Source organism: Homo sapiens, chromosome X, assembly GCF_000001405.40.
Source record: "Homo sapiens chromosome X, GRCh38.p14 Primary Assembly".
NCBI classification, from domain to species: Eukaryota; Metazoa; Chordata; class Mammalia; order Primates; family Hominidae; genus Homo; species Homo sapiens.
The window spans coordinates 105242338-105267847 of NC_000023.11; the positions used below are offsets into that span (position 1 = coordinate 105242338).

At 37.9% G+C, this 25510-nt stretch overlaps 1 protein-coding gene across 2 annotated transcripts in view; it reads left to right on the forward strand.

The window, feature by feature from the left end:
• IL1RAPL2 (interleukin 1 receptor accessory protein like 2) overlaps window positions 1-25510 on the forward strand; it is a 1201631-nt gene that overhangs the window by 676139 nt on the left and 499982 nt on the right. For both annotated transcript variants that reach the window (NM_017416.2, XM_011530905.3), the window contains one exon: window positions 25051-25204. In NM_017416.2, coding sequence (NP_059112.1) covers window positions 25051-25204 — 154 coding nt within the window. The remainder of the gene's footprint in view (window positions 1-25050; window positions 25205-25510) is intronic.

Here is a 25510-nt window from a genome sequence, read left to right on the forward strand (position 1 = left end):
TTTTTATTTTTCTGACAAAATATTTGATTTAAGCACTTATTCCTTTTAAACCAATTAATCAGAGCTTTTTCGTATAAACATCACTCACACAACACATACAGACAGAAGAAAATCCATTACTTGTAAGAATTTTCATTTGTCAGTTTTAAAATAGCTTTTCTTTCTCCCGTTCAGTCTATCAATCTTCCAATTACTGGTTTCACTGAACTAAGCAATTGTTGACTAGGCAACAAATTTGTATTTCTAAAGGGACAACTGTTAGGTGGAACCACAAAAAATAAAAATTTATATCTCATAAGCAGAGAGCAAGATTTTGGTCTAAAAATTATATTATTGTTTGCTCAAACCAGGGGCAAAACAAAAACAAAAACAAAGACAAAAACAAAACAAAAAAAACAGTGCTCTCATGAAAGTTCCATCAAGAGAAGATGGCCAGAAAAGCATCTCAACCAAAAGTATGATTTATTATGTAAATTTAAAGGAATGGGCCGGGTGCTCAAGCCTATAATCTCAGCACTTTGGGAGACCAAGGCGGGCGGATCACATGAGGTCAGGAGTTCGAGACCAGCCTGGCCAACATGTGAAACTCCGTCTCTACTAAAAATACAAAAATTAGCTGGGCGTGATGGTGCATGCCTGTAATCTCAGCTACTTGGGAGGCTGAGGCAGGAGGATCACTTGAACCTGGGAGGCAGAGGTTGCAGTGAGCTGAGATTGTGCCACTGCATTCCAGTCTGGGTGACAGAGGGAGACTTCATCTCAAAAAAAAAATAATAATGGTGATATGATTTGGCTCTGTATCCCCACCCAAATCTCATCAGGAATTGTAATCCCCACATGTCAAGGGAGGGACCTGGTGGAAGGTGATTGAATCATGGAGATGGTTTCCCTCATGGTATTCTCATGATAGTGAGTGAGTTCTCACAAGAGCTGATGGTTTTAAAGTGTGGCACTTCCTTGCTCTCTCTCTCTCTTTCCTGTTACCTTGTGAAGACGTGCCTTGTTTCCCCTTCATCTTCTGCCGTGATTATAAGTTTCCTGGGGCCTCCCCAGCCATCCAGAACTGTGAATCAATTAAACCTACTTTCTTTATAAATTACCCAGTCTCAGGTATTTATGGCAGTGTGAAAACAGACTAATACAAATGGTAAGTTTCTAATGTACATAAGCAGATATCCCTACAAATGGAGATTTCATATATATATGTGTGTATATATATATATATGTGTGTATATATATATATATATGTGTATATATATATATATATATTTTTTTTTTACAAAAGAGTTTTAAGATAGTCAATTAAATTCCAGAAAGATGTATTTTAGTTCAATAGGGTTTTCTTTTTAACATAGCTACTGTTTCTTAGCTAAAATTACTGAGTTCAGGGTAATGGGTGGAGCCCACTAAAGAATAGGGCCAACAAAGCATGCATTGTATGCCTAGACTCAGCATGGATAGATCTGTAAAAAGAAGCATGCCTATTTTACCTGAGGGCCTAACTTTTATAAACATCTTATCTAGGATAACTTTCTTTCCACCTTTTGGGTGGGAAAATAACTAAGCCAAAAGGTTAGCAGACTTAATTTTTAAAAATCAGTTAGTTGCTTAAGATTTGTATTTGCCTTTTATAAAGTCTTTAGATAAAAATATTGAAATATTTTTAGAAGCTTCTGCATGTCAATAGGCATCCCTAGGTGAGACTAATTTGGGAGCCCTCAATCAAATGCACTTCAGTGCATTGCCATTCATTTGGAACGTTCCACTCTAACTTATCTTTAGTGAGATTTTGCGATTTCAATAAGACTTTGCTGCTTGAGGGGCCTCATACTTGTGCGTGTATAAGCCAGAAGGAACTCAGTTCTTCAGAAATTAAGGATCCCATTTTTACCTCAAATATTGTCTTTTTTCTCAGATTCCCTTGATCAACTTAGCCAGTGTTTGTTTTTTCCTACTTAAGCATGCAAGAAAAATAAAACAAAGGGGTAGAACACAAAAATCTCTGTGAATTTCCAAAAGCCAAATTTTATACCCCCTGCAATATTGCCATTTACTACTAGGTTCTTTCTGACCCAATCAGATATAAGAGGCCTCTAACTGGATCCAAGCCAGTTAATTACCAGATCCAATCTGATCCTGGACCTAGTCCGCTTTCTGCCATGACTTCCAAACCTAGTTTGGATCAGAAATTTGCTCAAAGAAACTCAGAGAGCTCAAAACAGAAAACCATGGAGCTTTGGAATCCAAGAGAGAACTTAACCACGATCCCCAGTTGTTCCAAGAGAGTAATGGACACAGTGGGTCTGGTGGGTACCTCACTTGGTCATTCAATACTCCTTGGGGTCATTAGAAGCTCTACTTTGGATCCCACTTCTGGTGCCATCTGTTAAAAGAAAATCTTCAGCTGAATTAAATTTAAAATACTTTAATTGAGCAAAGAATGATTTGCAAATCAGTCAGCCTCTTGAGCCAGAGTAGGTTCAGAGACTCCAGTGCAGCCGTGTGTTAGAAGAAGATTTATGGACAGAAAAAGTAAAGTGATGAACAGAAAATGGAAGTGAGGTCCAGAAACAGCTGGATTGGTTACAGCTCAGCATTTGTCTTATTTGAACACATTTTGAAGTTGGCCACATTTGATTGGTCAAAACCCAGTGATTGGCACAAGAGTATGCTATGGCCTGTTTACACCACCACTTGTTATACTTGAAGATGTACAGAGAAACCTTTAGGTCATACTTAAAATATGTAAGGAGGCAGTTTAGGCTAAACTTGATTTAACTAACGTCTTAACTCCAGGGCTTTAATGGTGAAAACTATTGCTTTGCATGATCCGTTTTCCAGGTGTCTTTTCAAATATACAGAATCTTTAAATTCCTTTCGTTTCCATCAGTCTCTGTGTTTTACTTAATTAACTAATTATATTGTATCACTCTCATAGTCCGTTTTGAGTTTCCTGGGCTGTTTGAAATATGCTATGGTAGGCCTTTAAGGACTATCATTCTGTGCCTGCACGTAATCACAGCTGGATGGGAAGCTAGAGGTGAATCAGGTGGTACTGGAGGCATGTTCATAAAGATGCCTGAGTAAGCCAATCCAGCCTGTCTGAGGAATACAAAGGATATGTGTAAGAGGACTGTATATTCTCTATCTGAACTGCATCAGTTATCAAATTGAGATAAGGAGAGGGGCTACACTTTTAGAAGGTTCTTCTGACACTATATAAATAGGATTTAGACATTAGAGCAGAATATTCAATAATGTTAGTGTTTTTAAAACGTTTTACAAATGAGAGATAAGGATTCTTTTTTAAATTGAACCAAGAAGAACACTAAACCTACTTAATTATTCACTGAGCACCCTGTTGTCACAGAAATGTGGAGTCATTTTATCCCATTTCTAAATGTCCTAATTTTGATAGGATATTGGCAAGAAAAATGCAAATACACACTTTGGAGTGAAACACTCATCTATGTGATTAGTTACCTCAGTTGGTAAAAGTCTGGTGTTAATAAGGTCAAGGCTATCACTTTGAATTCTCCTTTTTCTTGTCACAACTATCTCAATTTTAGATGTTTGACATTGGTTATAAATGGAATTGGTTGGGAATGATGGATGGTTCAGTACAAACTTATTTGTACAACTGATCATTCATTCAGCACATATGTATTGGGTGCCTACCTGTGCAAGGCACTATGCTAGGAACTGGGAATACTGAACTGACCAAAATAAACACATTTCTCTTTTCTCATGAAGGGAGATAGATGAGTAAATAGCTCTTTCTCAACACTCCAGGAAGGAACTACATCAATTGAAATATCTAAAAGAACAGCTCCTACTTGTAATCAATAGTGTCTTTGTCTTGAGTAAAGGGCAGCAGACATACCTGTTTTTAATCACAGACATGAATCTCTGCAAAGGAAAATTACAAAACTAAATAAGATCAGCTAATATTTTCATGGTACATAATAGTCAGGAGCAATCTTTTGTTACCTAAACATCAAGGGTTTACTTTCAGTCCTGCAGCTTGCTGCACAGAAAGCCAATCACTGAGACAATGAGTATTGCCAGGGAAGAAGGCTTTAATTGGGTGTTGCAGCTGAGGAAATGGGAAATCAATATCAAATCCATCTCCCTGATGGACTAAAATCAGGGGTTTATATAGCAGGGAACAAATGTAACTAAATGCAAGTAAACAGAAATTAGGGAGAGGTAAGGAATAGGAGTTGGCTAACAGGAAGCAGGTAGTTGCTTAGACAATCATGATGGATAAGGGGTTGAATTTCTCCTTGTCTGGATGTAGTGATATGTTAAGTTTTGGTTCCTTGATATCATTTGGGAGTCCTGATGGTTGGTTTCCTGAGAAAAGAACTCAGATAAGACAAATGTGACTTTCTCAAGTTTTAAGACTAAGGGGGCAGTTTCTACATTTATTCAAAAGAAACCATAAACATCAGTTATATAGGACAACTGGGTCGATTTAAATTTTACAAATCTTTTTATGTAACAGCACACATAGAAAGTGATAATATGGCACATCAAAGTGAGTGGAAGACTGGCCTTGAGAGCTTCAGGTGCTCTCAGCCCTCCTGACTGATTTGGGGCTGAACAACACAAAATCAATGTGCCCATATACTGGTAGCCCTCACATAGCACTCCAGAGTGCTGTGACCCACTGGTTTGGAAGCTCTGGTTTACCTTTTCATAAAATGTAATATATATATTTTTTATCTAAAGATGACTGAGTAATTTAATCTTGATTGTCCTGGGAATGCAAGGGATATGTGGGAGAGAGTTGTATCTCCTCTATCTGAACTCTATCTGTTAGCAAAAGGAGGTGAGTCTGCTTATTGGTGGTTGTTATCTTCTTTTTACAGATGAGGAAACTGAAATAACTCACAGAGGGTCACTTATCCAACATGTGGCCAATTAGATTCAAACGCTGAAATTCTGACATCTAGTGTTCTCATAATCTCACTATGATTGCTCCACTACATGAATATGTTATGCACTTAATCACTCACATCACTGATATAAACAGAATTCTCTATCAAAATTGTTACTCCAGAAACAAATCCTGTAATGCTTTCTAAGGACTCTTTAATGACTCTGAGTGTTGAAAGGGACTCAAATGAGGAAACTGAAGCCCAAAGAGGTTAAGTGACTTGCTTAAGTCTAATGAAACCCATGTCTTTCTTTTTTTACATTCATTAAATTTTACAAAAAGAGACCACTAAATAGAATAGAAGTGTGTGTGTATATATATATATGTGTGTGTGTGTGTGTGTGTGTGTGTGTGTGTGTGTGTGTCTGTATTTAAAAGCTGATTGTTTTGACAAATCGAACAGTGAAGAGGTATATTAATATAAAGTTAGTTTCATCCTCTCTTCCATTCCATTTCAGCCACCAAAATAACTAATGCTAACTGTTAAATACTTCCTCACTTTCCTCTATGCTAACATTTTCTTCCTCTCTCTCTCCCCACCTTCTCTCTTTGTGTGTATATATGTGTATGTGTGCATACATATATAAAACACATTATTTACTTACTTTCATATATACACATATATGCAAATATTTTCCCTTCTCTAATTTTTTTTTATAAAAAAGAGAACATGCTATGCATATCATGCTTCAGCTTTCCCCATCACACACAACCGTATGAGAAACATCCTTCCACGTCTTCTACAGGTCTAATTCATTTTGCTGCATAATAGTTGACAGGACAGAACTACCTTATTTTATTCAATCAGTTCTTCTACTAATGGATATTTATGCATTTTTTTTCTATTTTTGTTTTTAATAACCACAGTGTTGGAACATCCTTGTAAACATACATGCTTCCTTACATCCATGACATACAAGATGGAAATGCTCTCTGTCACTATTATAGTTTTGTAGGTTCTAGCTGATGCAATAAGAAAATGAAATGAAATATGCTATATAAATATTGGAAAAGAAGAGACAAAATAATCTTAATTTTCAGATTATATGATTGCATACCTAGAAAACCCAAAGGATGCAACTACGACAACAACAAAAAATAGAACTAATGAGAAACTTCAGTATGGTAGCTTCCTAAAAATGTACAAAAATTCAACAGCTTTTGTTTTTGCAAACAATAACCAGTTAGACATGTAAAGGTGAAAAATGAAGTGATCTTGTTTAAACAATGACACTATAAAACACATTAGAATACATTTAACAAGGATGCAAAGGGGCTTATATGAAAATAAGATTAGCATTTGCAAACCATCAATCGGACAAGGGATTAATCACCAGAATATATAAGGATCTCAAATAATTTTGTAGGAAAAAAACCTAATCTAATTTGAAAAATGAGCAAAATATTTAAATAGACATTTCTCAAAAGAAGACATACAGATGGGAAACAGACATATGAAAAGGTGCTCAATATCATTGATCATCAGAGAAATGCAAATCAAAACTACAATGAGATATCATTTCACTCCAGTTACAGTGACTTATATCCAAAATGCAGACAATAACAAACGCTACTGAGGATTCGAAGAAAAGGGAACCCTTGTACACTGTTGGTAGGAATGTAAATTACTACAACCCCTATGGAGAACAGTTTGGAGGTTCCTCAAAAAACTAGAAATTGAGCTACCATATGATCTAGCAATCCCACAGCTGGGTATATACCCAAAAGAAAGTAAATCAGTATATCAAAGATATATCTGAACTTCCATGTTTATTGCAGCACTATGCACAATAGCCACAATTTGGAAGCAACCTAAGTGTCCATCAACAGATGAATGGATAAAGAAAATGTGGTACATATACACAATGGAATACTATTCAGCCATAAAAAAAGAGATTCTGTCATTTGCAACAACATGGATGGAACCAGAGGTCATTATGTTAAATGAAATAGGCCAGGTACTGAAAGACAAACACCACATATTCTCACTTATTTGTGGGATCTAAAAATCAAAACAATGGAACTCCTAGACACAGATAGCAGAAGGATTGTTACCAGAGGCTGGGAAGGGTATGGAGGGGTTGCAGAGAGGTGGGGATGGTTAATGGATACAAAAAAATAGTTAGGAAAAATGAATAATACTTAGTATTTGCTAGCACAACAGTGAGTCTATAGTCAAAAATAATTTAATTTTCCATTTTAAAATAAAAAGTACAGTTGGATTGTTTGTAACACAAAAGATAGATGCTTGAGGGAATGGAAACCCCATTTTCTATGATGTGATTATTACACATTGGATGTCTGTATCAAAATAACTCATGTCATCATAAATATATAACCTACTATATACCCATGAAAATAAAATACCATTGAGGTACTATTATGTAATAGAAAAGCTAAAATCGAAAACACAGATGACACCCAATGCTAACAAGGATGTGTAGCAACAGGAAGAATTATTCATTGCAAATGGGAATGCAAAACAATACAGCCACTTTTAAAAAACAGTTTGGCAGTTCATTACAAAGTTCAAAGTAAGCTTACCATAACATCCAACAACTGTGCTTGTAGGCAGTTACCAAAATTAGTTGAAAAGTTTCATCCACACAAAAACCTACACACAAATGTTTATAGCATCTTTATTTACAGTTGCCAATAATTGTATGCAACCAGCAAGTCCTTCTTCCTTTGTGAATGGCTAAACAAACTGTGGTACATTCATATAATAAAATATTATTCAGATATGAGAAAAAATGATATATCAAATCATAAAAAGACATGGAGAAACCTTAAATGTGAAACCATAAGTGAAATAAGCCAGTCTGAAAAGGGTACGTACTGTATGCTTAGAACTATATGACATTCTGGAAAAGGTAGTACTATAGAGAGAATAAAAAGATCAGTGGTTGCCAAGGTGTTGTGGAGGAAAGATGAAGGAAGGAATCAATATATGGATCACAGAATATTTTTAGGGTGGGAAACAATTTTTAGGATGGCAAACAATTCTGTATGATGCTGTAATGATGGATGTATGAAATTATTCATTTGTCAAAACCAATTGGACTGTACAAAACACAGAGTGCACCCTCATGTTAACTGTGGACCTCCTTTAATAACAATCTATAAATATTCGTTCATCAATTAGACCAAATTTATCACATTAATGCAAAATGTTAATAATATGTAGAAAACTTGATGTGAGAGTTTGGAGGGTATGTGGAAACCCTGTACTTTCTGCACAATTTTTTCTATAAACCTAAAACTAAAAATAAAGCCTATTAATTAAGAAAAAAAACAAAATTTATTATAGGACATAAAATATGATCCAAATTAATGAAGAGACAACATGTTTCTGCATGGGAAGATACCAAAGAATAAAAGATACGCTTTTCTGAAAATGTATAAGTAATGCAATTTGATAGAATATAAATTATTTGAAACTGGACAACATAATTACACAGTTAATATAAATGAATATGCCAGAATTGCCAAGAAAATATTGGAAAAAAGCATTCATGAGAGGGGACATATTCTATGAGTTGCTATCATTTACTACAAAACAACATCAATTGAAACAGTAAGCTAAGGAAAAGATAATTGACCTGTAGAATAGAGAATCCAGAAACAGATAAAAATACTTATGTATGAGAATGTAGAATATAATAAAGGTAACATTTCATTTTAATGTAGGTGGAGGGAGAATGATGGTTTATTTAAATATGGTGTGGACATAATTGAATATCTACTTAGAAAAAAATTAGATCTCTGACTCTTGTACCCTGTTTAAGAAAAATTCTAAATGAATTGTAAAGAGTTAATTTCATCTACAAAAATAGTGGTTTAGGAATGACCATTTCTAAATGCTACCACTTATTTCAATAAGTTAAGTTTTTAAAGAAAAGAGCTTTACATTGATTTATCTTGTTATACATTCTGACTGTTTTTCTAAAGGTGGAAAAAATGTCATTAGAAACCTCATAATACCGCAGCCTGAATGATCAACACTTGCTTGCTAAAAAAAAAAAAATGGTTTCCCAAAATGCTTGGAGATTTTGAATCCCTTTAGGAAGTGTAATAAAATTAATCTGTGCCTTCTGTCATAACCATAAAATTGTATGCAACCCTTGAATTTTTAATCTTGTAACAAGAATTTTCAAAGACATATTTATCCAGAAGGAATGAGTTGCAAAGCTCATGAAGGCTTCAGTTTGGTGTGCCCTGAAACCATAGTCAGCAATACAAAATTTAAGATCCATTTGTACTTCTTTTTGTTCCTAGATATGGCATTAGAAGTGGGGAGGTTTTTTTTTTTTTAACTGTTTGTAAATTATAAAATAGGTGGGCTAATACAATAGGAATGGGTATTTGGCATGTATAAGAAGCACTGGGCTCCATGTTTGAGGACTTGGATTCTGATCACCATACTACCATTAACATGGATAAGTAATTAAATATCACTGGACCTCAATTTCCCCACATATAAAATATATGTAATTAATAGCTGTTATATACCCTAGACATGTTATAAAAGTTTAATGATTAAAGTCTTTACTTGAGATTTGCTACAACTATAGAAATGGAAAAGTTATGTGGAAGCCAGAAATATAGTTACCTAAGACATCTCAGATTCTAATTTAAGGCTGAGGTTTTTTTAAAGGTCAAATTATTATGTATAATTTACAAATAGCAAAATTCATCCCTTTTACATGTACAATTTGATTTGATGTGTTTTGACAAATGTATACACCATAGTCAAGATATGGAACAGTTCTGTCACTCCAAGTTCTTCTGTGTCCTTTTGTATTCAATCCTCTCGTCCCAGCCTTAGTCTTTGGTAAAAATTCCTTTGTTTCTATTCCTATAATTTTCCATTTTCCAGAATGTAATATAAATGGAATAATATGATATGTAGCTTTTTTGTCTGTCTTCCTTTACTTAGTATAATGCATTTAAGACCCATCTATGTTATGACATATATCAATAATTCATTTCTTTTTATGCTGAGTAGTATTCCACTGTATAGATGTACCACTGTTTAACCATTCACTAATTGATGACCATTTGGATTGTTGCCATTTTTTGATTAGGAATAAAACTGTTACAAGCATTGGGTTTTGACGTTATATTTTCTTGCTTTATCAACATGATTTGTTTTTGTCAACTTTGTAATCTTTTAACAGGCATGCCTTTTTAAAATTTAACAAGAGATTGCTCTTGATCTTTCCCAAATTGTTCTAAGAATCTAGGCTTAGAAGGTCCTTGAGTATATCTTTAATGGCATCCCAGGGATACAAACAGTTCAAAGCAAACTAAAGCTTCTTAAGCAATGTCTTTCCTACAGTATATCTTCAATGTATCCAGCAGAATGATCTTTTAGAAATACATATCTGATCATAGGATGCTACTTCTTAGTGAACTCTAATGATTCTATAAAATCATTTAGATGACAGCTCCTTTTTACTGAGTGTTTGCAGGGCCTAACATTGTGCCAAATATGTTCATGCATTACATGACTCAATCATTAGTGAAGCCTTATGAGATAGGCTACACGGTGGCAGAGCTGAATTTGAACCCTGACGGTGTGCAAATATCTTAGAATGGAATTTAAGGCTCTTTACATTTGAATCCAGCCACTCTCAAAAGAGCAAAATTATTTGGAACTTTTTTGTCTACTTCAAGTGTTTTCACATCTGTGTGCTTCTACACATGTTGTTCCTTCTGTCTTCTACACCCTGCCTGCCTTTTATATGTTGTTCAAACTCAGCTCAGATGCTCATAGTAGCCCACCTGCATACCATCCCCTTGCCCAGACCCAGTCTGCTCCAATACATGAATGACTCAGCATTGAAATTTAAACATTTCTTCTTTTTCTTTCTCTATTTCTTCTTGTTCTAGTATTCCCATTATGCCTATTTTACACCTTTTGTAGTTCCACAGTTCTTGGATATTCTGTTCCACTTTTTTTCCATTCTTCTCTCTCCTTCCTTTTCTTGTTGGGAAGTTTCTATTGACATTATATTCAAACTCATTGGTTCTTTCCTCAGCTATGTAGTCTATTAATAAGCCCATCAGAGGCATTATTTTATTTCTGTTGCAGTGTGTTGATTCCTAGCATTTCCTTGAGATTATTTTTAAGAGCTTCCATCTCTCTGCTTACATTACCCATCTACTCTTACATGATGTCTACTTTTTCCATCAGAATTATTAACATTTTAATCATACTTATTTTAAGTTCCCAATCTGGGAAATATAAAATTTCTGCCATATCTGAGTCTGTTTTTTTTTAACTTTTATTTTAGGTTCAGGGGTACATGTGAAGGTTTGTTACATAGGTAAACACGTGTCACAGGGGTTTGTTTTACAGATTATTTCATCACCTAGGTATTAAGCCCAGTATCCAATAGTTATCTTTTCTGCTCCTCTCCTTCCACCTTCAAGTAGACCCCAGTGTCTGTTGTTTTCTTCTTTGTGTTCATATGTTCTTATCAGTTAGCTACCACTTATAAGTGAGAACATGTGGTATGTGGTTTTCATTCCCTGCATTAGTTTGCTAAGGACAATAGCCTCCAGCTCCATCCATGTTCCCATAAAAGACTTGATGTCATTCTTTTTTATGTCTGCATAGTGTTCCATGGTGATATGTACCACATTTTCTTTATCCAATCTGTCATTGATGGGCATTTAGGTTGATTCCGTGTCTTTGCTATTGTGAATAGTGCTGCAGTGAACATTTGTATGTATGTGTCTTTATGGTAGAATTAATGATTTATATTCCTCTGGGTATATACCCAGTAATAGTATTGCTGGGTCAAATGGTATTTCTGTTTTGCTCTTTGAGGAATCGCCATACTGCTTTCCACAATGGTTGAACTAATTTACATTCCCACCAACAGTGTATAAGTGTTCCTTTTTCTCCACAACCTCACCAGCATCTGTTATTTTTTGACTTTTTAGTAATAGCTATCCGACTAGTATGAGATAGTATTTCATTGTGGCTTTGATTTGCATTTCTCTAATGATCAGTGATGTCGAGCATTTTTTTCATATGTTTATTGGCCACATGTATGTCTTCTTTTGAAAAGTGTATGTTCATGTCCTTTGCCCACTTTTTAATGGGGTTGTTTATTTTTCTCTTGGAGATTTGTTTAAGTTCCTTATAGATGCTGGATATTAGACCTTTGTCATATGCATAATTTGCAAAATTTTTCTCCCATTCTGTAGATTGCCTGTTTATATTGTTGAAAGTTTCTTTTGCTATGCAGAAGTTCTTAAGTTTAATTAGACCCTACTTGTCAATTTTTGCTTTTGTTGTGATTGCTTTTGGTGTCTTTGTCATGAAAGTTTTGCCTGTGTCTATGTCCTGAATGCTGTTGCCTAGGTTATCTTCCAGAGTTTTTATAGTTTGGGGTTCTACATTTAATTCATTAAACCATTTTGAGTTAATTTTTGTATATGATGTAAGGAAGGGGTTCACCTTCAATCTTCTGCATATGACTAGCCAGTTGTCCCAGCATCATTTATTGAAAAGGGAGTCTTTTCCCCATTGCTTGTTTTTGGCAGCTTTGTCGAAGATCAGATGGTTATAGATGTGTTGTCTTATTTCTGGCTCTCTATTCTTTTCCATTAGTCTATGTGCCTGTTTTTGTGCTAGCACCCTGCTATTTTAGTTGCTGTACCCCTGTAGTATAGTTTCAAGTCATTTAACGTGATGCCTACAGTTTTGTTCTGTTTGCTCAGAATTGCCTTGTCTATTTGGGCTGGGCTCTTTTTTGGTTCCTTATGAATTTCAAGTCCTGTGAAGAATATCATTGGTAATTTGATAGGAATAGCATTGAATCTATAAATTGCTTTGGGTAGTAGGGCTATAATAATATTGATTCTTCCTATCCATAAGCATGGGATGTTTTTCCATTTTTTTGCATCTTCTCTGATTTATTTGAGGAGTGTTTTGTAATTCTTATTGTAAAGATCTTTCACCTCTCTGGTTAGCTATACACCTAGGTATTTTATTATTTTTGTGACAATTGTTAATGGGACTGCTTTTACAATTTGGCTCTCAGTTTGCCTGTTGTTGGTGTATGTGAATGCTGGTGATTTTATACATTGATTTAACATTTTTCTCATATTTTCAACTTTTTGATGTCTGCCTTAATTTCATACCATTCAACCCAGCAATCCCATTACTGGGTATATTCCAGAGGAATATAAAAGTGTATAAATCAAACTTTGCTGAAACTTTGCTGAAGTTGTTTATCAGCTGAAGGAGCTTTTGGGCTGAGACAATGGGGTTTTCTAGATATAGAATCATGTTGTCTGCAAACAGAGATAGTTTGACTTCTTCTCTTCCTATTTGGATGCCCTTTATTTCTTTATCTTGCCTGATTGCCCTGGCCAGAACTTCCAATACTACATTGAATAGGAGTGGTGACAGAGAGCATCCTTGTCTTGTGCCAGTTTTCAAGGGGGATGCTTCCAGCTTTTTCCCATTCAGTATGATGTTGGCTGTGGGTTTGCCGTAGATGGTTCTTATTATTTTCAGATATGTTCTTCAATACCTGGGGTATTGATAGTTTTTAACATGAAGGGGTGTTGAATTTTACCAAAAGCCTTTGCTTTGTCTATTGAGATAATCATGTGGTTTTTGTCTTTAGTTCTGTTTATGTGATGAATCACATTTATTGATTTGCATATGTTGAACCAACCTTGCATCTCAGGGATGAAGCCTACTTGATCATGGTATATTAACTTTAGATGTGCTGCTGGATTTTGTTTGCAAGTATTTTGTTGAGGATTTCTGCATTGAAGTACATCAAGGATATCAGCCTGAAGTTTGTTGTTGTGTCTCTGTCAGGTTTTATTATTAGAACAATGCTGGTTTCATAGAATGAGTTGGGGAGGAGTCCCTCCTCCTCAATTTTTTGGAATAGTTTCTGTAGGAATGGTACCAGCTCTTATTGGTATGTCTGGTAGAATTTCGCTATGAATCCATCAAGTCCTGGGCCTTTGTTTTTCTTTTTGGTGGATAGGCTATTTATTATTGACACAATTTTTTTTCTTTTTTTTTTTTGAGACGGAGTCTCTCTCAGTCACCCAGGCTGGAGAGCAATGGTGTGATCTCAGCTCGCTTCAACCTCCGCCTCCTGGATTCAAGCAATTCTCCTATCTCAGCCTCCAGGGTAGCTGGGATTACAGGTGCCTGCCACCGCACCCAGCTAATTTTTTGTATTTTAGTAGAGATGGGGCTTCACCATGTTGCCCAGACTGTTCTCGAACTCCTGAGCTCAGGCAATCCACCTGCCTCAGCCTCCCAAAGTGCTAGGATTACAGGCGTGAGCGACCGTGCCTGGCCTATTGATTCAATTTCAAAGCTTATTATTAGTTTGTCCAGGGATTCAATTTCTTCCTGGCTCAGTCATGGAAGGTTGTATGTGTCTAGGAAGTTACCCATCACTTCTAGGTTTTCTAATTTGTGTACATATAGGTGTTTCTAGTAGTTTCTGATGGGGGTTTTTATTTCTGTGGGGTCAGCAGTAACATTTCCTTCATCCAATTGTGTTTATTTGGATCTTCTCTCTTCTTCTTTATTAGTCTAGCTAGTGGGCTATCTATCTTATTAATGTTTTCAAAAAACTTTTGAATGGTTTTTTGTGTCTCAATTTCCTTCAGTTCAGCTGTAATTTTTGTTATTTCTTGTCTTCTGCTAGTGTTGGAGTTGATTTGTTCTTGCTTCTCACTTTCAGTTTTGATGTTAGGTTGTTAATTTGAAATCTTTCTAACTATTTGATGTAGGCATTGAGTGCTGTGAATCTCCCCTTAACACTGCTCTAGCTGTGTCCCAGAGATTCTGGTATATTGTATCTTTGTTCTCATTATTTTCAAGGAACTTGTTAATTTCTGCCTTTATTTCATAAATTACCCACGAGTCATTCCAGAGCATGTTGTTTAATTTCCATGTAATTGCATGGTTTTAAGTGATTTTTCATAGTCTTAACTTCTATTTTTATTACACTGATCTGAGAGTGTGTTTGGTATGATTTTGGTTCTTTTACATTTGTTGAGGATTGTTTTATGTCCAATTATGTGGTTGGCTTTAGAGTATGTGCCATGTACCAATGAGAAGAATATATATTCTGTTGTTTTCAGGTGGAGAGGTCTGTAAAGGTCTATGAGATCCATTTGGTCCAATGTTAAGTTCGGGTCTTGAATATCTTTGTTAATTTTCTGCTTCGATGATCTGTCTAATACTCAGTGGGGTGTTGAAGTCTCCCACTATTATTGTGTTGGAGTCTATGTATCTTTGTAGGTCTCTAAGAACTTGCTTTATGAATCTGGGTTCCCCCGTGGTGGGCGCATATATATTTAGGATAGTTAGGTCTTGTTAAATTAAACCCATCATCATTATGTAATACCCTTTTCTATATTTTAATCTTTGTTGGTTTGAAATCTGCTTTGTCTGAAATTAGAATTGCAACCCCTGCTTTTTTTCTGTTTTCCATTTGCTTGGTAGATTTTCCTTCACCTTTATTTTGAGCCTATGAATATCATTACATGTGAGATGGGTCTTTTGAAGACAGCATACAATTGGGTCTTGCGTTTTTATCCAGCTTGCCACTCTGTGCCTTTTAAGTAAGGCATTTAGCTCTTCTACATTCAAGATTAGTATTAATACGTTTGGATTTGATCCCGTCATTGTGCTGTTGGCTGGTTATTATGTTGGCTTGTTTATCTGGTTGCTTTACAGTGACACTGGTCTGTGTGTTTAAGTGTGTTTTTGTATTAGCTGGCAGTGGTCTTTTCTTTCTATATTTATTGTTATTTTCAAGATCTCCTGTAAGGCAGTTCTGGTGGTAATGAATTCCCTAAACATTTGCTTATCTGAAAAGGATCTTATTTCTCCTTCATTTAGGAAGCTTCATTTGGTTGGGTATGAAATTCTTGGTTGAAGATTTTTTTTCTTTAAGAATGTTGAATATAGGCCCCCAATCTCTTCTGGCTTGTAGAGTTTCAGCTGGGAGGTCTGCTGTTAGCCTGATGGTGTTCCCTTTGTAGGTGACCTGCCCTTTCTCTCTAGCTGCCTTTAACATTCTTTCTTTCACTTTGACCTTGGAAAATCTGACAATTATGTATCTTGGGGATGATCTTCTTGTGTAGAATCTTGCAAGAGTTTTCTGTATTTCCTGAATTTGATTCTTGGCCTCTTTAGCAAAGTTGGGGAAGTTTTCATGAACGATATCCTGAAATACGTTTTCCAAGTTGTTTGCTTTCTCCTCTCTTCTTTCAGGGATGCCAGTGATTCATAGATTTGGCCTCTTTACATAATCCCATATTTCTTGCATGTTTTGTTCATTCCTTTTTATTCTCTTTATTTTTGTCTGACTGTCTTAATTCAGAGAATCAGTCTTCAAGTTCTGAGATTCTTTCCTCAGCTTGCTTTATTCTGCTATTAATACTTGTGATTACATTATGAAATTCTTGTATTGTGTTATTTAGCTCTCTCATACCTGTTAGGTTCATTCTTATACCAGCTATTTTGTCCTTCAGCTCCTGTATCGTTTTATTGTGATTTTTTCCCTTGGATTGGGTTTTTTCATCCTCCTCAATCTCAATGATCTTTGTTCCTATCCATATTCTGAATTCTATTTCTGTCATTCCTGCCAGTTCAGCCTGGTTAAGAACTCTTATGGGAGAACTCATGCATTTGTTTGTAGGACATACAACACTCTGACCATTTGAGTTACTGGAGTTCTTGCGTTGGTTCTTTCTCATCTCTGCCTGTGGATGTTCCTTTAACTGCAGTGTAGATTGAGTACAGTCAATAGGTGTTTCTGGATGTTTTCACTGGGCTGAGGCTTTGTGCATGGTCTTTATTTGAAGCTTACTTCCTGTCTCTGGTTTCAGAGGGGGGGTATGTTAATGAAGTATTTTTAATGTTGAAGATTTAGGGTGTGATCCAGCAGGTGGCACATAGGCTTATTGGTCAGTTGGTACACTCTTGCTCAGTTGTGTGGCTTTCCTATGTTTCCTCACATTTGGAGCCCTGTTCCCTCTCAATGCTCTGAAGGTGTGGCTTCCTCTCTCCTTTGAGTGCTGGCTGTAGATTGCAACTTGGCACTACTGGGCTTCTCATAGTAGCTCTGGGGTGATCTCAGTGTTTTATGTTTTTTCCCCAACTTGGAAGCAGCAGAGGAAGGGACCTTAGTAGTGGTTGTGGCCAAGGATCATTTGCTTGTCTCCTGGGAGCTCCACTCGAGAGAGGTGCAGGTCAGCAATGGCTTAGTGCAATCAGCCCAGGATGAAGGGCCTGTGCTGTGGGTCCAAGCCAAGACTTCCATGTCTGGTGACAAGTTGTAGGGGATGTGTGGGACCTGTGGGAGATGGACTGGCCTCCTCTCCTTGGGTCAACTGCAGCTTGCTGGTGGTGTGGTTAAGGTACTTAGGATATTTCCTCCGTAGTCTGAGGGTAGCAAGGGCCGTTCCACTACAGAGGTAGTGGCACAGAGGTTTTCAGTTGTCCTTGGAGACTCTGTCCAGGAAGTTGCTAAGTTGCCTGGAGGACCTGCCCGGTAAGGAGATATGGGAATAGGCACCCACATAACAGTCTGGTCAGTTTTTCTTAGGGCTGCTGTAGTATGCTGGAGGCCTGCTTTAGTCAGTAGTCACCTTGAATTTTCTAGTACCTGGAGGTATCACTAGTGGAGGCTACAAAACAGCAAAGATGGCAGCCTGCCTCTCCCTCCGGGAGCTTCATCCCCGGGAGATATGGACCTGTTGCTAGCCCAAAGTCACCTGAAGGAGGTGGGTGGAGACCCTGGTTGGAAGGTCCCACTCAGTGAGGAGGAATGGGATTGGGGACCTGCTTAAAAAAGAAGACTGGCTACATTTTGGTAGAGCAGCTCTGCTGTGCTGGGGGTCTGTTCTAGCCCCTGGTTGCCTTGGGCACTCCAAAGCCCCAAAGTTGGAACAGCTAAGTTTCCCAAACAGCAAGGATGACGGCCCAGCCCTCCTTCTGAGAGCTTCATCCCAGGGAGGTTAAAAATCTCTGTTAGCCAGAGAACACCAACAGGGGTGGCTGGAGGCCCAGTTTGGGAGGTCCCGCCCAGTGAGTAGGAAAGGGATTGGGGACTCACTGAAAGAAGCAGTCTCGCCACATTTTAGTAGAGCAGCTGTTTTTTGCTGGGGAATCCCTTCTGCCCCTGGTCAGCTCAGACTCTCCAAAGCCTGAAGGTTGAAATGGCTAGGTCACCCAAACAGCAACGATGGTGGCCCACCCCTCCCTCTTGGATCTCCTTCCTGGGAAAGTTACAAATCTCTGTTGGTTGGAAAATACCAGCAGGGGTGGCTGCAGGCCCAGTCTGGGAGGTCCCGTCCAGTGAGGAGGAGTAGGATCGGGGATCCACTTAAAGAAGCAGTCTAGCCACGTTTTGGTAGAGCAGCTGTGCTGTGCTGGGAGATCCCTTCCACCACTGGTCAGCTTAGACTCTCCAAAGCCTGAAGGCTGGAATGGCTAAGTCACCCAAACAGCAAAGATTCCCCCTGCCCCCGGCCCTGGGAGCTCCTTTTTAGGGAGGTGCAATGCCCCTACCGGTGGCTAGCTGGAATTCCAAGTCTTGTTCTGTTAGGTGCTGTGGACATGGGGCCTGAAGGCTATTGCTGCTCAGCCCCCTGGGTTCAGCCTCTTTCCTAGGGGTATGTTTGGAGGTCTAACCTTCCACTTTGCCAGAGCTGCAGCTACCCTTTCTGGAAAGCCCAAGTATATAAGACTCCAGGGTCTCCTCACATGCTTGAGTGGCTGCTCTGCCAAGGCTCCACATAGCTCTGTCTGTTAGACTGAAGGCCCTGGTGGAGTGGGTTCATATGGAGATCTGCTGATCTGAGGGTTGCAAAGATCCGTGGGAGAAGGTGGTTTCCTGTGGTCACACATTCACTCACCACTTCTCTGCACAGGGGAGGTTCTCCTGGCTCCATGTTGCTTCCAGGTGGGCCGTCATCCTGTCTTGCTTTTCTTCATTCTCCACAGGTCAAGTTGTTTTCTTGATTAGTCCCAATGTGAGTACCTGGATGTTTCAGTTGAAGGTATTGTATTTACTCGCCCCTTCTTTTCCTCTATGGGCCACACATGCTAGCTGCTTCTAGTCAGCCATCCTGGCCACTTCATATCTTAGTCTATTTCTGATGCTTGCTCTCTCTTCAGGCTGTTTTTTTGTTTGTTTGTTTGTTTGTTTGTTTGTTTTGTTTTTTGAGTTGGTGTACCTTGTAATTTTTCGTTGAAACCCAGACATGATGTACTGACTGGGTAAAAAGGAACTGAGATAAATAGGCCTTTAGTGTGAGGTTTTTAGATTTTTCTGGCTAAGAGTAAGGCTGTTTTTACTGTTTTCTATAACTGTTGGTGTTAGAGGCTACAGTTCTTTCTGGTGTCCTTGTTTTTCACTCTTCTATTGTCTTTGGGTTTCCCTAGAGACTTCTTAAATAAGATGTGAGTTGTGCAGTTCTTTAAACTGTGATGCCCTATTATTAGACAGGAGTCCTAATTGATGTGTTGGTAAGATACAGGGTGAGAGTAAGTGCTATATAATATTATGACTAGGTCTCAGTGTTTTAGTGAACCTTGTCTCTGAACTGTGACCACAAGTGCTTCTCAGCTTCTCTCCCACCCACTACTTGAGACAGGAAGGCTAGAAGGGCTAGAGCTGGCTTTTTTTCTTCTTCCACTTCAAAGGCTAAAAGGAGCTAGAGTTGGATAGTTTCCTTCTCCATGTCAAAAGCTAGAAAAGGGTAAAGAGTTCATACCAGTTGCTGGCTCGTGCAGCTGCTTCTGCTCCCAGTGAGCTGTGATTCTCTATATTCTCCTGTCTCTCCAGTTTTTGGGGTAGTAGTTTTCTTTGTGACCTCAGTTATCTGATGGATCTGAAAATGGTTATTGATGTTCAGTTTGTTTGGCTTTTTTCTTGTTGTGAGGATAGTATTGATGACTTCTAAGCCCTTTACATGTCAGACTAGAAACCAGAAGTTAATCTCAGCCTTAGAATGATAACTTTAGGTTAAAGTGTTGTCTCTAGACTGCTATAGAAAATTGAGTCACATTAACTCCTGATGATCATTAATATATCATAACACATGTATAACCTGAAAGCAAAGTACTAAAAGTAATAAAAATAATAGACTAATAGTTAATATTTATTGAGTAGTTTTAGCATGTGATGCCCTATATTACAGGGCATTTACATATATCACCTCAGTTAATCTTTATAATCACCCCAATTGGTAAATATTATCACCACCTGTTTTTTTTAAATAGGTGAAGCAACTGAAGCTTAGATTGATTTAGTAGCATGCTCAAAAACATACTACTTGGAATTCTAATCAAAGTGTTTAGTCTAGAACTTATATTCTTAACCACTGTGGGCTACCAATATCAACATTAATACTGTGAAGATAGAAAGTTGGAGAAACAGAGCTTGGAAGGGAAGGGCTCCTTGTAGTTGGTTATCCTAGGCCTTTGGAGTAGAGATAGGCTGAAAAGGACAAGGTTCATACCTAATTTGCAATCGTACTCCTAATTGTCTCTTCCATCTTTAAACTGCAGACAGTTCAGTTTCCCTAAAGATTTTTTTTTTTCTTTTGAGATGGAGTTTCGCTCTTGTTGCCCAGGCTGGAGTGCAATGGTGCAATCTTGGCTCATTGCAACCTCTGCCTCCTGGGTTCAAGCGATTCTCCTGCCTCAGCCTCCCGAGTAGCTGGGTTTACAGGCATGCACCACCACGCCCAGGTAATTTTGTATTTTTAGTAGAGACGGTGTTTCTCCATGTTGATCAGGCTGGTCTCGAACTCCTGACCTCATGTGATCCACCCGCCTCGGCCTCCCAAAGTGCTAGGATTACAGGCATGAGTCACTGCGCCTGGCCCCCTAAAGATTTTTAAGCAGATGTTTAGATGCCCTGTGGGAGAATACAGTCTCCAGGGGAAAGGAGAAAAGTTGCCTAAGGGGTGGATGTTGGGTATTCAAACAAAGGTGTTTGAGGACTAGAGGTTACATGGTTAGTTTATGGTCGCATAGCTGCTTTGTGCTTAAACCTCAGAATCAGAAGAAATATTGAAATCAATCTTCCTGATGTTCTTGCCATGAAGAATGAATCATGTGCTCTGAATGGCACTAAAGTAACCACAACCACCAAATCAAATGGATTTAAAAAACACCTGTAGGTATGATGATGATATCTCAGAAGTAGACTATGAATACAGTGGTAAATATTTCAGGTTGGAAACTCCAAGATCCAAATGTAGCTGGCAACAGGTTACTTTAGGGTTCTTAGTAAACAGATATCTCAGTTGTGCATTCTGGGCTTTCAACCCAGCAACTACTGGCACGGGACATTTGCCACCTAGGAAGGTGGGGAGGGAGAGGAAAAAAGCTGGGCTTTAAGTGTTGACATTATGTTGACTGGGTAAGGATGTCCTGCAACAAACTACTCTATGAGGGGATAGCAAGGCCACAAAACGGATCTGATTGTTGAACTTAAGCAACTCTAGCAAGACGGGCTCTCAGCAAAATTTTCAAGTTGTTCAGGTTTAATAGTCCCAGGGACAATAAATAGTAGGGGGATTACACAGTGAGTTCAGTATTAGGGAACTGCTCAAATTTGAGCCTTTGGTGGTTTGTCCTGGCCTCAGACAACCATCTTGAGACTTGACCTATGCACTTCAAATTCTTTGCCTAGTATGTTGCTATAATTAAACACAGCTGGAGCAGTGGGGTATGGTGATATTCTTTGGCTGTGTCTGTACTCAGATCTCATCTTGAATTGTAGTTCCCATAATCCCCATGTGTCATGGGAGGGACCAGGTGGAGATAATTGAATCATGGGGATGGTTTCCCCCATCCTGTTCTCATGATAGTGAGTGAGTTCTCAGGAGATCTGATGGTTTTATAAGGGGCTTCTCCTTTTGCTGGGCACTCATTCTCTCTCCTGCCACCCTGTGAAGAGGTGCCTTCCTCCATGATTGTAAGTTTCCTGAAGCATCCCCAGCCATGCAGAACTGTGAGTCAATTAAGCCTCTTTTCTTTATTAATTACCCAGTCTTGGGTATTTCTTCATAGCAGCATGAGAACAGACTAATACATATGGCAATACTGTCTGTTCATTAGGAAGTTAGTGAGCAGGAGAGAAGTAATGACAGCAGTAAGCCTAGCAGCCAGCAGCTTACTGGGAGAAAGAGTGCCAATAATGGAACCAAGAGCCTGGAAGACTTCTGAGAGTCTATATAGGCATCCAGACTGAGGTAGAATAGCCAACAAAGTAACTTTGCAAAAGGCGTATTAGTGGAGGCAGGATGGGAACCTTTAGAAATTGTCTGTGTTGTATGACCACTCCTTATGGTGCTGCCCAACAAGAATGTAATGAATAAACCTGCAAGCCTCTGGATTCTGGCTGCTCACATGGTAGTGAATATTATTCCCATAAGCAAATTTGCTGAAGATGACAGAACTTGGGGGAGCCCCACATTTTAACCTAGAGATGTCTTACCCTAAAGCCAGTTTGCCTTTTCATCTACACTACATTGTCTCTAGAGGGATGTTGGTGACCTGAAGACAACATTTTCTTATGCCACAGTTAAAAAAAAATAAAGATCCTCTATTGGATACAAAGAACCTTTTATAAGGCTAGATGGCAGCTTGGAAAACACATAGGGCTATCTCGATCATTCCCAAAGAACATATAAAGATTCCAAGCTGTTCTTCATCAGGAGTTATTTTATAATTCCTATACACTCTTTAGTTTTTACTTCCTGGGGAAAAAAAGCAAAACAGTGAGCAGAGAAAATGAAAATTGTTAGAATTAATTGCATATGGACTTTCCCTAAAATGACATAAGAAAATGACACCATTTGTCTTTGAATGAGTGTGTGGGCTTATTTGCCCACCCCCACCACTGTTGTGTGAAAGCGCAGCAGCTCAGTTTTCATTTTCCTTTCCTCTCAAAATGCCCAGAGGGACCATATTTTTGTTTAATGACCTTCAGAATGATTCTTTAGAAATCTGAGGCTATCAGAGTTGGAAACAATGCGAAAATAATTGTGGATTATTATTGTATGACGGCAGTGGCAGCTGGGCTGTTTCTTTTTCTCTGTGTTCAGACTTTCTTCTTCATTTTCCCAGAAACCTTATATCCCAAGGTTTAACTCAGAAGCAAATCTCAGATAGGTGATAAACCTTGCCAGACATGGTATGTAATATAATTTCAGACAGGCCCTTAACTGTTCTTCAGGAAGACCCTAGGGAGTGAAGCAGCCTTATATCTACATGCTCTCAATAGTATTACTTTTATTTACTCTCTGACAATGTGTGTGGGTAGTTGTATTGAACATAAAGCAAGCATATCTCTTAAATATTATACTTGTGAATTAAAGCACCAGTTTGTGTGTTTTGTTGTCAAAATTCCTGCTAACATGAAAGAAAAAAAATGTTATGAAAAAAATGGGTACTCGCTGTCTCAGATCACTTACACACACACACACGTACACACACATACACATGAACACAAACACACAAGCACTCACAGCTGGGGATTGAGAGTCAGCACAGATTCTAACTTTACATGAATGTTTAAGATATGCGTATGGAGGCAGGGGTGAGGAGTGGTAGATGCAGATGTTGTATACACCATAGTGGGGAAAGTAAAAAGTGCTCTCAACTATTGTTCACATCATCTACCTCAAAATCAATTTATTTATTGCCTTAACTGACAGAATTTACATGATAAAATACTTTTTTTTTTTTTGAGACAGAGTCTCATTCTTGTCACCCAGAATAGAGTGCAGTGGCGTGATCTCGGCTCACTGCAAACTCTGCCTCCTGGATTCAAGAGATTCTTCTGCCTCAGCCTCTCAAGTAGCTGGGATTACAGGCACATGACACCACGCCCAGCTAATTTTTGTATTTTTAGTAGAGACAGGGTTTTACCATGTTGGCCAGGCTGGTCTCAAACTCCTGACCTCAAGTGATCCGCCTGCCTCAGCCTCCCAAAGTGCTGGGATTACAGGCGTGAGCCACCGTGCCTGGCAATAAAATATTTTTTGCCTTGAATATTCAGCACTCCCTAACAGCTATCCCCTACGCCTTGACTGATGTTTGTACAGCATTCGGCTACCACTTTGGTAGAACATTTGAGGCGAATGATAGCCAGAATGGGGCAATATCTAATAAGTAGTCTGAAAAAAAATTCCTAAAAGACAAAGATAATTGCCTGAATATTCTTACATACTTGGATATTGTTATATCCTTGTCACTTTCTGGAAAAGTATTAAACATTCCTTTCTAGAGAAGTCCAATCTTGGTAGCAAGATTCCCTCACATTCCTATCAGGAGAGTAAGATAATTGGCTTCAAAACCCAAAACTTGTTCTGTGGTTATATATCACTGAACTCAGAAAGTAAGTGGATGATTTCTCCAGGCTGTTACTATAACAAAGCGTGTCCTCATTTTACCTAGCTATGTTTCTAGAGAAGTCCTTAATTTTTTATATTCCTTCCCTCTCTACCCCCACATGGATTTCTTGATTACAAGAAGGGAGATTCTGGAGTACTAGTATTAGTTTTTATAATAAGGAGTAATTAATGAAACAATTGTAAACTTCATTGCCAATATAAAATCCTATTATGAAAGATTAATAATGCCTAAGACTCCCCTGGAGTATACTAAGTGGCTAAGTGAACCATGTCCTCTTAGGACTCTTAGGAAATATCCTTGTCAAATAGAAGGAACCAGGACATTATAATAATATTTAGTGACTGTTAAGGTTCTGCTATACCTCTCTTGTAATTGGGGAGCCTCTATGCTATTCTATTTATTTTTTTCAGAATGCCTCTAAAGACTTCTTGCTCTTGGGGTCAGGCCTTTGAAGTGGTTTGTAGTGCAGTAGTTGTGATATTAGAATTGGATACAATAGGACACATTTGTGATTTTTCTTGGTCATTGACTTAACTCCTTAGTTACATATTTTGAAAACGAAAGAGAATAATACAAAAAAGTAAAAGTACTAACTTGCTGGTACTGAGATGTAGTCTGTGAAATTCTATTTTTTGCTTACTTGCAAATATTTTATCTGCAGGAATGCAAGCCAAAAATGTGGAGAAGCATAATAATACAGAAAGGAAATGCTCTTCTGATCCAAGAAGTTCAAGAAGAAGATGGAGGAAATTACACATGTGAACTTAAATATGAAGGAAAACTTGTAAGACGAACAACTGAATTGAAAGTTACAGGTAGGAATCAGTTCTACAAAATTACGGCAAATGAGATTTTAAGTATAATTTGGTTTGGGAAGCAAGAGTTTTGTTCAAAGAGTCAACTTTCTGTGAATTTAGAATTGCCTGCAAATCAAATAGTTGAGAAACTTGCTATTAATAAGTTGTACTGAGTAAAAGCAATATATGGAATATGAAAAAAGAGTTTAGAGAACAAGGGCCTAGTTGCTGTGTGTCTGTTCTCTGTCTTTATGAAAGGTTCTGAACTCTTCAAGGTATCATTATTACTAAACATCTCAGAAAATATATAGTGGAGCCAATCTA